The 12,971-nt window shown below is 44.4% G+C and overlaps 2 long non-coding RNA genes across 2 annotated transcripts in view; one reads left to right on the forward strand and one right to left on the reverse strand.

Annotated features, from left to right (window-relative positions):
* Positions 1–12,971, forward strand: part of LINC02698 (long intergenic non-protein coding RNA 2698) — a 242,222-nt gene that overhangs the window by 64,637 nt on the left and 164,614 nt on the right. The window lies entirely within an intron of this gene.
* LOC101928985 (uncharacterized) lies at positions 7,956–10,773 on the reverse strand. The gene is made up of 2 exons (NR_135066.2): positions 9,569–10,773; positions 7,956–9,205 (listed from the first exon to the last, which is right to left on the reverse strand). It is a non-coding gene; the product is annotated as an uncharacterized LOC101928985 (long non-coding RNA).

Consider the following 12,971-nt stretch of genomic DNA (forward strand, 5'->3'; position numbering starts at 1 on the left):
ATTTTGCATTCTCACCAGTAATGATAGACAGTTCCAGTTGTCCCATATTCTCCCAGGACTTGGTATTGTTATTTATTAATTAATTTATTTATTTTTAATTTTAGCCATATAAATAGATATGCAGTGTATCTCATTATAGTTTTAATTTGTATTTTTTTCTTAAAAAATTTTAAAAATAGAGACAGGGTCTCACCATGTTTCCCAGGCTGGTTTCAAACTCCTGGGCTCAAGTTTTCCTCCCGCCTCAGCCTCCCAAAGTATCAGAATGACAGACATGAGCCACCATGCCCAAACTTAATTTGTATTTCTTTAATAAATAAATAAATAATGTTGAACATCTTTTCATGTTATTGTTTGCTATTTGTGTATCTTTGGTGAAATATTCATTGCTTATTTTTTTTTAATGTGTTGGGTTTTTTCTTATTGTTGAGTTTGAAAGTTGTTGATGTATTCTAGATTTCAGTCCTTTTTCATATATGTGTTTTGGAAATATTTTCTCCAACATTGTGACTTATTTATTAATTCTTTCAAGAGTGTCTTTTAAAGAGAAGATTTTAGAGTTGATAAAATTCTCTATACCATGGATCATAGTTTTGGTGTCATATCTAAGAGATACTTACCTAATCTAAGGTCACAAAAGTTTTCTGTTATGTTTTCTTCCAAAAGTTTTATAGTTTTAGGTTTTATGTTCAGGACTATGTTTCATTTTGGGTTGCATTGTATATATGGTGTGAGGTAAGGGTAGAGACCTCTGATGCCACAGCTGCTGCTGGGCTTCCTGGATCCTCCCATCTTCCCCTTGGCCATGCTGTTCATATTTTTAAAGACGTTTTATGTAATGCCTATGTTAATATTTACATTCCTGCCTAACTAGCTGGCTTCTGCTGCCCTGGGCATTTCTTTGACTCGAGTAGGATGGAGTTGCAGTCTTTCCAGGTTACTCAGTAGCTATTTCCTACTCATAGCATCAAAGCATGCCAAGAGCTGAAAGTTGCTTTGTGTGCAGACCTTGAAGTATAGACTCAGCAAAGGCTCCAGATGTTAACATTTCTACCCAAGATACCTGCTATGATTTGGATATTTGTCTCTTCCATACATCATGTTGAAATTTGACCTCCATTGTTGGAGGTGGGAACTGGTGGTAGGTGTTTGGGTCATGGGGGCGGATCCCTCATGAATAGCGCCATGGTTGGAGGTGAATGAGTTCTCTCACCATGTGATCTCTTTGCGCATGCTGGCTTCTCTTCCACTTTCTGCAGTGAGTTGAAGTAACCCGATGTCCTTACCAGATGCAGATGCCAAGTCTTGAACTTAAGCCACCAGAATTGTGAGCCAATAAATCTCTTTTCTTTATAAACTGCCCAGGCTCAGATATTCTATTAGAAGAGCACAAAGTGGACTAAAACAGTACTCAAACAAGACTTAGATGCCTAAGCTTGGGCCAGAAGAAAATAGAATTATTAGAGTCTTTAACTTGAAAAGGTCCCTGGAAAATTTCTTTGTCCCTATTCCTTTGCCACTGTGGTCAGGATCTCACACAAATTGTCCCAGATAGAAGAGCCCCCAAAAGATTGGTTCCTTGGTTATTGACTCAAGTGTCAATCTGGATTTAGGTATTTTGGTATTGGTATTTAGGCATATGGTATTTATGAACAGGTAGTTAGTCGGTGGGCAGAGGCAGGCTGTGGGATCAGGAAGAAACCAGAGATAGGATGGAGAGAATGGGAAATTGGAAATCCAAGCACCTAAGCTCTCTCACACTCCAAGCATTCTAAACGTGAAGGTGCTGCTCTGGGGCAGACACAACAGGGATCCTGGTATGTTTCCTTGGCTAAATTACTACGTGCCCTCAGCCTGCTGTTCCTTTCTGTGAAATGGGGGAACTAGTAACCACCATCACTGCCACCATCTCCACCACCACCACAACCAACCTTTATCAGTGTTTTCTATCTGTCAGGCTCTTCCTGCACATTTTCTCATCCAATACTAACAATAACCTGAGGGAAATGTTATCATGTCCATTTTACAGATGAGGAAGTAAAGGCTCAGTGAGGTTAAGAAATGTGCCCAAAGTCATAAATCCCCTAACGTCCCCCTGAAAGGATGAAACCATACAAGAGAAAGTCCTACCCACCACTCCTCCATTTTATAGATGATCAGTACGTACTAACATAAGCATAAAGCTCAGGCTTCCTAACAGGAAATACAATGATTTAGATTAATGGAATACAGCAAAGACCACTGACTTTCAGGGAGTTAGGGATACTGGATTCTCAACCCAGAACTTGCTCTAAATCATCCAGAAACTTGAACTTGTCTTGTCTAGGACTTCATTTCTCCCTTGTTAAAATAAAGGCTCAGCTGAGAGGATTTCTCAGATTCTTCCAGGTGCTCACCTTCTGTGATTTTATTATTCTTATTTTTTTTGTCTGTGCCTTCAGATTCACAAAGAGATGTTAAATTTGATTAGAAGTTACCAGAGATGGACTCCATTGGTGTTAAGAGAAGAGTGAGAAGATGCAGCTTAGTTTACATTGGAAGGGGCAGGATGCAGATCAGAATGATTTTTCCACTTGCTTCTGTTTCTCTGTATCTCACACATCTTTCAAGACTCTTTGTCTGGGGGGCCTTCCAGTACCAGCTTGGTAAATGGACTTCTTTGTAAATATAATCTCTGTGTGCAGCACAGTTTGAGCTGCATTAATTAATTCATTAATGTACTTACTTATACCTGCCTTGTGCCAAAGTGGTGTTATGGTGGCTTACACAGATATGTGAAACACAATGCCATAACACATATTAGAAGGAAATGGGAAAGGAAAATAGAAGAACAAAGGAAGGAATGTCACAGGGGATCATGAATGAGGCCAATCCAGGGATGCAGAACTTGAAGCCCCTAAACACCTACTAATGGCAGGCTCTGATTCAGAATCTAAAGTTTCTGACAGCCAATCTGAACAAGGTAGCCCAGTCAGTCTCACAATTTACAGTAGTTTACAGTACCTGTAATATGAGAGAAAAAAAGGAAAGAAAGGAAGAGGGAAGAGAGAGAGAAAAGAAGAAGGGGGAGGAGGAGGAAGAGGAGGAAGGGGAGAAGGAGGGAAGGAAGGAGGGAAGGAAGGAGGGAAGGAAGGAGGGAAGGAAGGAGGGAAGGAAGGAAGGAAAGGAAGAAAGGAAGGAGGGAAGGAAGGAAAGAAAGAGCCCAACTATTCCTGATGCTGAACCAGAAAGAGCTTTTCCTGGAGTCCTTCCTAGGAACTCTGTGTTATGTGATGAACAGCATCCTCACCACCCTCACAGTAGGCTGGCTCCTCATTCCTTGAGGCTGCTCCCTGTAGCATCATCCTTCAACACAGGCCAAACTTCAGCTCAGAAAAGCAGCTCCACAGGGGACCAGAGGGATATGGTCCAATAGACAGCTGTCTGCTGACCTGGCTAAACCCTGGGGCCGTTGTTAATATTTCTAGAGGGATGGATGTACTGCATCCCCTTCAGGCAATCTTTCATATAGTTTGTCTCTCTCAGCTGGGTTATTGATGGACACTGCATGGCAGTGAGTTCGAGACTGTATTCCCTGCCAAATAACTGAAGTGCAGCCATTGGGTTGCCAATTAAAGACAGACCCATATGCCTTACAAACACAGAAACAGTTGAAATCCATCAACACTGTAGTAGGGTTGTCATTCTCTTATGAAAATTGATGAGCCTAACTAGGACCTACACCTGATGAGAGGGCCACCTCCTTGGCTCTGAGCTGAGCTGGAAGAGTTTGCGGGGTGTTTGATTGGCCTGCCAAGCCCCCAAGCCATGAGTGTCTGTCCTACAGGGTGGAGTGATTGCTCTGGGAATGGAGAACCTTGAATCTTGCCATTTCTACAGTGAGAGGTTTTGTCTATAGGATCTCCAAGTTCCCCACCAGCGTGAACATTGCTAATTCTAGAAGGAAACTACTCCATGGGAGGAGGGCTGTTAAACACTAGAAAAGTCTGCCATTGGAATGGTAAAATTGCCTGCCTCAGAGTTGTAGAGATCCATGCTGTCTGGGGGAAATTGGAACAAATCTGCCTGGAGGCAGAGGGCTGGCCTGTGGGCTCTGGAATGCTTACCATGATGTGCTTGGTGGAGAGTATGTAGCTGGTTTATCTATCTGTGTCTAAGTGTGCGTGGCCTGGCAACAGTTGTCTGTGCTCACTTGGGTCCACACCTCCCTCTTCGTGTGAAGACGTGTGTATACACGAGTCCATCATTATTTTACCCCTCCCCAGTAGCAGCCGTGGCACTGAGAGCCATGGCTCTTTGCTGGGAAATGTATTATACAGCACAGTACTCCCCTCATAAAAATACAATAAACGGCCCTGCAAGTGGTCAGCAAAGTGATGACTCCAACCCAGTGGTGTTCTTGGAGGGGCCTCTTTGGAAGCAAAGCTGGGAAGATGGAACCGAAATCTTTGGGGTAATTAGGTTTCTGGCGTGCAGAAACTTCTTAAACCATTGGGAGTCAGAAAGGACCTGGTCTTGAAATCATACATCAGGCCAGGCTGAGTATGCTCAGTAAGTAAGTATGCTCAATGAGTATGAGCCCCCAGTAAGGAGAGAGTTGGCCATGCGGCAGCGCCTCTTTATATTTCTGCATCGCAGCTCCCCCTCCATGGAGACCCACCCTGACCCACATAAGAGCACAGTTGTTACTTAGGAGGCACAGGGAGGCTGAGCTAGGGAGCTGATCTTCATGCCTTAGGGGCCGGACCCTGCAAGCTTAATAGATGGTCTTTTGTCTGGAGGGTGCATGGGTGAGGGGTTCATGGAGTAGAAGGATGGCTGGGATAACTGAACAAAAATTTCTTTCACCTTGTGGGTCCTTGTCAAGGACCTAAAGGAAAACTTTGAACCCACATCTTTCTAATTCTCAAACCACCCCTTCCTCCGACTCCGCCAGAGATGGGGCCTTGTGAGAGGGTGAAAGATTGGCAGGAGTGGGGAGTGTAACTCATAAGAGGGGCAAGAGTGGGCTGACCTCACTCCCAGCCTTCAGCCTTCCCTGCTTCCTCTTAGATGGAGAAGGAAGTGGGGCCCTCCTGGGTTCTTGTGGGTTCCCGAGAGTCCCGGCTCCCACCTCCTTGCTTTTCCCTTGAGGGCTCAGTGGGAGGCCCCAGCTAAAAGGCTGATTCCTGCCAGGGCTGCCAGCAAGCTGGGCCAGGTAGCAGTTAAGGAGAATAAAAGCAATCAGGGAATTCTGGGGCTGCAGTGGCACGCAGACCTTCAGGGCATTTAGGGAAAGTAGATTAAGAAATCTTTTTCCAGATAAGAGGGCCCTGTAAAGAGGCCAAAGAAAGGGAAATACACCCCCCTTTGATCACAAGGGATTGTAATTACTCAGATATTGATTGGGATAATGAGTTTGCCAAAACTCTAGAGAAGGAGAGATATTCCTGCAGGTATTTTGCTTTTGCAGAATTTGCTGAGCTCTCCTGTGAAGTCAAAGTCAATTTGGAGGCCTAGGCCTGGCCCTGAAGCCCAGAAAATGGGAGTTGGAGGCCTTTTCCTCCTGGCAGGAGTTCATTGCAGGCCCAGGCTCACCACCCTCCCTCCAGGGGTTGTTACCACTATCATTATTAGCCTGATCATTGCCATTATTGATAACCCTTGGGGCCTAATGGGGTTGAGTATGCAGTGAGGAGAACTGAAGTCAGCCTCCAGAAGAGCGTAAGGCCCTCAGCCTGGATTCCAGAATCTTCCTCAGTAGTTTCCTTACCTCTCTTCTAGAAGCCCTCTCTTTCAAATTTCCTCTGTACCATACCCCCAACTTGTGCATGTGTGCATACATGCACGCACACACACATGCGTACACCCATGTGTATATACCCTAACTACCTTCCAGCCACCCTGATCTTCCCACAATTCTCACACATGCCCACCTGTCACACACAGTTGTGGAATTAGAGCTTTGGCTTTAGGGTCAGACAGACCTGAGTTCAAATCCTGCTCTGCCACTTAATAGCCCTGCAATCCTGAGCAAACCACTTCACCTTTCTCAGCCTCAGAGTCATTTGCAGAATGGGAATAATATTAGCACCTACCTCATCTCGCATAGTTGTTGAGAGGATTAGATGAGGTGATATAAAACATTTTGCTCAGTGCCTGCCTTATAAGAAGTGCCTCATTTAAGTATTAGCTATTGTTTTTGTTATTCTACAGCCTTCCTCTGAGATTTTGCATGAATCATTGCTTCTGCAAAGTTTTCTCTCATCGTAGCTGTGAACCAAGGCTCTTGTCAATCTTTCAGGCCTAGCCACGATCTCAACTCTGTCCCTTCCAGAATCTTCTCCTTTTGCTCCCAGTTGTCTGTATCTCTTATAGCTCTTAATCACAGTTTGCTTTGAGTTCTGATTTTGAACTTGAGGAGGACAGGGATTTTATCCTCCTCTTTTTATCTTCCTTACTCCAATTCCAGAGTTTAGCACTCTACACACCTTTATATACAGTAAGTGTGTGCTATATTTTAGATTTTTTGTAATAATAGATATCATTTACTGAGCAATTATTATGTGCCTTTCTTTTTATATACATTATCACATTTAATCCTTATAACAATCCTATCATGTAATTATCTACATGAAGCAATTATTCATAAAAAAATGATTTCTTTTTTATAGATGTGGGAATTAAGACTCTGGAGAGATAAAATCATTTACTGGTCACATAGCTGATGAGTGGATGAGCTTTGTTCCAAACACAGGACTATCCGTTTCCAAAGACTGTATATTACCTGCAACTAGGCTAAATCCAGCACATCTTTCATTGGTCATATCCTAACCCCCAGGTAGGCTGCACACTCAGCAACTTCCAGCTCTTAGCATGCTTTGGTTCTATGAATGGGAAATAGCTACTGAGTAGCTTGGAAAGATTGCAACTCCATCCTGCTTGAGTCAAGAAATGCCCAGGGCAGCAGAGGCCAGCCTGGTTTAGCAGGGATGTAAATATTAGCACAGGCATTATGTGAAAGGTCTTTAAAGGATATAAACAGCCTGGCCAAGGGGGAAGATGGAGGGTCCAAGGAGTCCAGCAGCAGCCATAGAGTCAGAGACACTTTGAAGAATATGGCGTGATGAAGTGCCAGGAAGACTTGCCTGTCAATGAAAGACTCTCTAATACATCTCAGCTGACAAAAAGCAGGGGAGAAGGTCAGTTCCAATAGAAAAAAATGCTGGTGAGGAACTGAGATTGAGGAGATAGCAGAAACTTGCCGTTAGCGTTCCAGAAGTCTGGAAAGACAAGAGTGAAGGGATACATGAAAATAAATGATTGATAATACTACTACTAATAATATTGATTGATAATGTGATTGCTAGGTGCCCAGCACCATGCAGTGTAAGAAGGTGAGTAGCTGTATAGCCATAACACCATAGACATGATTATTTCAGAACCCAAGTTCACTCCTTTTTAATATTTCTTGACTGTTGATACTTAAGGGGACTCCCAACCTCATCTGATTCTTTCAACAAGCGTTTGTCTCATGTCTACTCTGTGTATGCTGCTAGGATGTGCCCTGGGGAGATGGATGAAACTTGTGCTCTAACCTGGAGGAACTCTCAGTCTACTGGTGGACAAGGAGCATACATACCTACAATGGAGTGGGATGTTTGTTATTAGAGAAGTTGGTCACTATTAGTGTACAAGTGTTCTGGGAAATGGGAGGAAGATTTCAGAGAAGAGGTGGTATCTGAGTGGAGAATACTTTTAAGAATGGAAGGAGTCGGGTGGAGAGTGAGGGGAGTGCATTGTGAGCGAAGGCGACAGTTTCATAAAAGCTTGAGGCTGTGAGAATATATGGTATGTTCAAAATGGCTAAACGGGGACCCCTGCATGTCTAGGGTTGGGATATGTGAGAAGCTGCAGTAGGTGGAACCTGAAAGATATGGTGGGATAAGATAGTGAAAAATACTTCAAAGACATTGTTAAATCAATCATCATGTTTATTTATTGAGCATCTACTCTGTGCCAAGTATGGAATCTGGCACTGGGACTGCAATGACAAGTAAACCAGAGTTGGTCTCTGCTTCACCTGTAGGATGACCACATGTTCCAGTCTCCTTTTTGTCCTGGAATAATTATTAATAACATCTCCTTTTACTTTCAAAAGTGTTCCCATTTACACTTTAAGTTATATGATCATGCTACCTCAAAATTTCAGAAAGACAAACATTAATCAAACAATCACCCAATATATAACTTCAAATTGTACTGGATGTTATGAAAGAAAGATGCAGAGGGCTATTACAGCAAGCATTGGAAAGCAGCTTCATTCTCCAAAGGAATTTATACTTCTCTGCAGGCAAAACAGAGACAGAAGGTTTTTAAGTTGGAGATCAGATCTTAGTTTTAGAAGTCATGGCATTTTTGTGCTTGTTGAAGATTTCTCTCTCTCTCCTCTCCCTCTCTTTCTCTTTTTTTTTTTTTCAGAGTCTCTCTCTGTCACCTAGGCTGGAGTGCAGTGGCGTGATCTTGTCTCACTGCAGCCACCACCTCCTGGGCTCAAATAATCCTCCCCTCTCAGCCTCCCGAGTAGCTGGGACTACAGGTTCCTGCCACCATGTCCAGCTAATTTTTGTATTTTTTTTTATAGAGATGGGGTTTTGCATGTTGCCCAGGCTAGTCTCAAATTTCTGGGCTCAAGTGATTTGCCCACCTTGGCCTCCCAAAGTGCTGGGATTACGGGCATGAACCACTGTGCCTGGCTCCTCTCTCTTTCTTTTTAATGTCTCCTAGTTATTATCAATAAGAATTGGAAAAAATCCAATTTTCCTTGTATAGCCTTTCACAGTGTAGATATACTTTTTCTCATCAGAGTTGCAGAGTGAAAAGTTCAAAGCAAATATGTCAGCCAAAGCTCACTTTCTGTTCTAGCTCTGCCTAGAGCAGGCTGCCTGACCCTGGACAAGTTACTTCTCCTGAGCCTTGGTTTTCTCATCTTTTATTTTTATTTTTATTTATTTTTTAGAGATAGGGTCTCACTTTTTCACCCAGGCTAAAGTGCAGCAGTGGGATCATAGCTCACTGCAGCGTCGAACTCTTGGGCTCAAGCGATCCTCCTACTTCAGCATCCTGAGTCCCTGGGATTACAGGTGCGAGCCACCACTCCTAGTTCAGGTTTTCTCATCTTTAGGAAGGGAGTGGTCATTCCCACCTGCAGGGGTGGCTGTGAGGGCTGGAAATATGGTGAGTAAAGTGACTAGTACAGTGCTGGCCACGTGGTAGGCACTCAAGAAACAGCACCTACTTTTGTTAGGTTTTCTGAGCTTGTGATTGTCTCAGAATGAGTGCTATGACTGGTGGAGAAATGCATTTGACAGAAGACACACCACTGTCTACAACAGGGGAGAGAGTGGAGGTCAGTGGGCAAGGAAGGGAAGGGAAAGGGCTGCAAGTGTTTCCGCCACTAGAAGGAAATTGGGTTGGAAAACAAACACCTGCCCTTTTTAGTTGGACTCTACATGGCCCTTAAGAACCAGAACCTACAGACCTGGTGCGCTAAGCAGAGTAAGAAAGAGGCATCTAATGGTGTACGCACCAAAAATCCAGACTGCCCTGCATAACCAGGACCTCCTGGGAACGTCTGGGAAAATCAGACAGTGAGGCTCCATCTTGCTTTTGTCTTCTCTTCCTCATTCCTCGGGCTTGTATATAACTCCCTCTGTGGGCAGAGGAAGGCCCCTGATAGAGGGATGCAGGCAGACATTGCACTCAGTGAGCCTGAGAAGATGGGGATAGAGAGGGCTGCGTGGGGTTGGTGGGAGGAGGAACCAGGACCCTCCACCCAGTGGTTATTTTGGAGCTAGAAGTGCTGTGACCACTTCCGTCCAGGTCTGGCTTGTGTCCTGACTGGGAGACCAGGCTGCTGGAGTCTGCATCTCATTTTCTTTCTGATTTGCCTCTGGTGTTGTTCTGCTGTGTGTTGGTTTTCGAGGGCTGCCATAACAAAGGGCCACATCCTGGATGGCGGTTTGTTTTTCTCACTGCTCTGGAGGCTAGAACTCCAAGATCAAGGTGTTGTGAGGATTGTTTCTTCTGATGCCTCTCTCCTTGGCTTGTAGATGACCACACCCTCCCTGAGTCTTCACATGGTCTTTTCTCCATGCATTCTTCTCTGTGTCCTAATCTCCTCCTTTTATAAATGCCCATCATAATGGATTAGGGCCCACTCTAATGACCTCGTGTCACCTTTATTACCTCTGTAAAGACCCTGTCTCCAAATACAGTCAAATACTGAGGTACGAGGTGTTAGGCCTTCAACATATGAATTTTGCGGGGATGCAATTTCGTTCATAACAGACAGCTGGGCAAGTTGCATCTTTGGTCGTCTTCCCTCAAGAGAGGAAAAGTGGCTTGGTTGGCCTACTGAGCCTCTTTCCTTGGAGAGGAGTTGAATCAGGAGGCTGAAACAGCGCAAATCCCTCTCTAAACCCTCTTGGCTTTACCCAGAGCCAATGGGTAATCCACTGCCTGCTCTGGGGTTCCTGGATGCTTCCTCTTGCCTCCTCAAGCCTGCTTTTCAGATCTGGGATCTGCTTTGTTTCTGGTGGAGAAATAGGTGTCTACTCTGAAATTACCTCTCCTCGGGACTGTTCAAATGTATTTGTCTTGTCTTTTGCAGACATTCCTTTAACAGAAAAGAGCTCTCAGCCCCGAAAGATCCCATGCAGAGGGCTCACCTACTGCAGGATAGGAGAGCCAAGGAAGTTGCCACTCTTTTTCCATTCACCCCTTCCTTCCTCTGCAGGGGAAGGCAGGAGACCACACCTGTGTTTGTGATATCACAGACACGCTGAGATCCACAAATGTGTCATTAGCCCACCAGGTTGGCACAGAACGGCTGCATCTGAAGGTGATTTAACACAGGTAGAACCCTACTTACAGATGGGCAGGTTTCCAAAGATTTGCTTGTAGCTTAGTTATTATGAATCAGGAGTGTTTTCCTCTCATAGAAAAAGTGTTAAATGCAGGGGGAGGTTTTCAGGGAACTCCTCAAAAATCTATTTAACTCACACATAATTAAAATACGAAATACGATCATTTCTGTCCCCAACACCCAAATTTCATATATGCCATTGTTCCAGAGGGAAAATATATTGTGAGTTCCAACTGTATCTATCAGGACTAGTGCTTCTCGCTCATCAGTGTAGCTCACCTGACAGTAGCTTCATGGAAAGGTGTTTCTGGGAGGGAAAGAAGGATGATATTGGGCCAGATCCTTGTGGACACCAGTAAAACAATATGTAAAGGGTGTAAAATATTCACTTTTTTTGTTGTTGTTGGTTTTTTTTTGTTTTTTGTTTTTTGTTTTTTTTTGAGATGGAGTCTCGCTCTGTCTTCCAGGCTGGAGTGCGGTGGCATGATCTCAGCTCACTGCAAGCTCCGCCTCCCGGGTTCACGCCATTCTCCTGCCTCAGCCTCCTGAGTAGCTGGGACTACAGGCACCTGCTACCAGCCTGGCTAATTTTTTTTTGTATTTTTAGTAGAGACGGGGTTTCACCATGTTAGCCAGCATGGTATCGATCTCCTGACCTTGTGATCTGCCCGCCTCGGCCTCCCAAAGTGCTGGGATTACAGGCGTGAGCCACTGTGCCTGGCCAAAATATTCACATTTTTAAAAGCGGGACCATATAGTTGATTATATTTAGGTCTCATGGTAATAAGAATACCATGAGATCCTTAAGGAGATACCATAATGCAAGGATACCATAATGCAAGGATAAGCATTATGATCTTCATTCTAGAGAAATGGAGAGTGAGGCTCAGAGATGTCAAGAGACATTTCAGGCTTACACAGCAGAGACAGTTGCTGCTCTCAGAATGCAATGCATCTCGCATCTGCATCTGACCTCTTGGTCAACCTCTCTTCAGCTTGGCTGTGGTAGGGAATACAATTTCTGGGTGTTAATGTGTCCGGCAATCCCGGCTAGTCTGTCTGGCAGGAGGCAGAAGCCCATTCTTCTCTAGGAATGACTATGACCTTGGGAAGGGCTAGGACAGGGCAATTCATGCTGCTGCCGTGTGAGGGCTGGGCAGAGGTTTGGAGATGATGGCAGCCTGTGCAGACTGCAGAATTTTTAGGATAAATGGTGATTTTCCTTCTTGGTGATTTCCCAAGGCCACTGAGGCCTGACAATTCTGGCAGGGAAACCAAATTTAAATGAGTCCCTTTTCATGTCTGCCTGAGGGGTAGACATTAGTCAGAGAGCTAACAACCTTCCCTGACTGTTTCCTGTGTTCTGAACATGGTATATGGGGGTTGTGAAGAAACACAGTCATTGTTCCAAAGATATTTTATACCTGGACAAAATAAAACAATCAAAGAACCAAATACACACAGGAAATGTAGAACAAGTTAGGGTAGATTCCTCCACCCTGTGAAGTGAACTGCAGAGGGCACCTGTGGGCATCATCAGTTAGGGGCGGGCTCACTCAGAAAAGGCTTCTGACTCGGCTCTGAAAAGTGCTATAGAATGTAAGAATTGGAAAGGTGTTTCGATTTTTAGTTCAACCCCTGTATTTTCTTTCAGATCAGAAAACTGAGGCTCAGGGAAGTTAGTGACTGGCCTATGGGTTTTTCTTTTTTCTTTTTCTTTTGAGACAGGGTTTCACTCTGTCATCCAGGTTACAGTGCAGTGGTTCAATCTAGGCTTACTGCAATTTCCACCTCCTGGGCTCAAGTGATCCTCTCACCTCAGCCCCCTAAGTAGCCGGGACCACAGGTATGCACCATGATGCCTGGCTAATTTTTTTTTTTTTTTTTTTGAGATGGAGTTTCATTCTTGTTGCCCAGGCTGGGGTGCAGTGGCATGATCTTGGCTCGCCGCAACCTCTGCCTCCCGGGTTCAAGTGATTCTCTTGCCTCAGCCTCCCAGGTAGTTGGGATTACAGGCACTGGACACTATGCCCAGATTTTTGTGTGTGTGTGTGTATTTTTAGTA

The sequence above is a fragment of the Homo sapiens genome, chromosome 11 (genome assembly GCF_000001405.40).
Source record: "Homo sapiens chromosome 11, GRCh38.p14 Primary Assembly".
Lineage (NCBI taxonomy): Eukaryota > Metazoa > Chordata > Mammalia > Primates > Hominidae > Homo > Homo sapiens.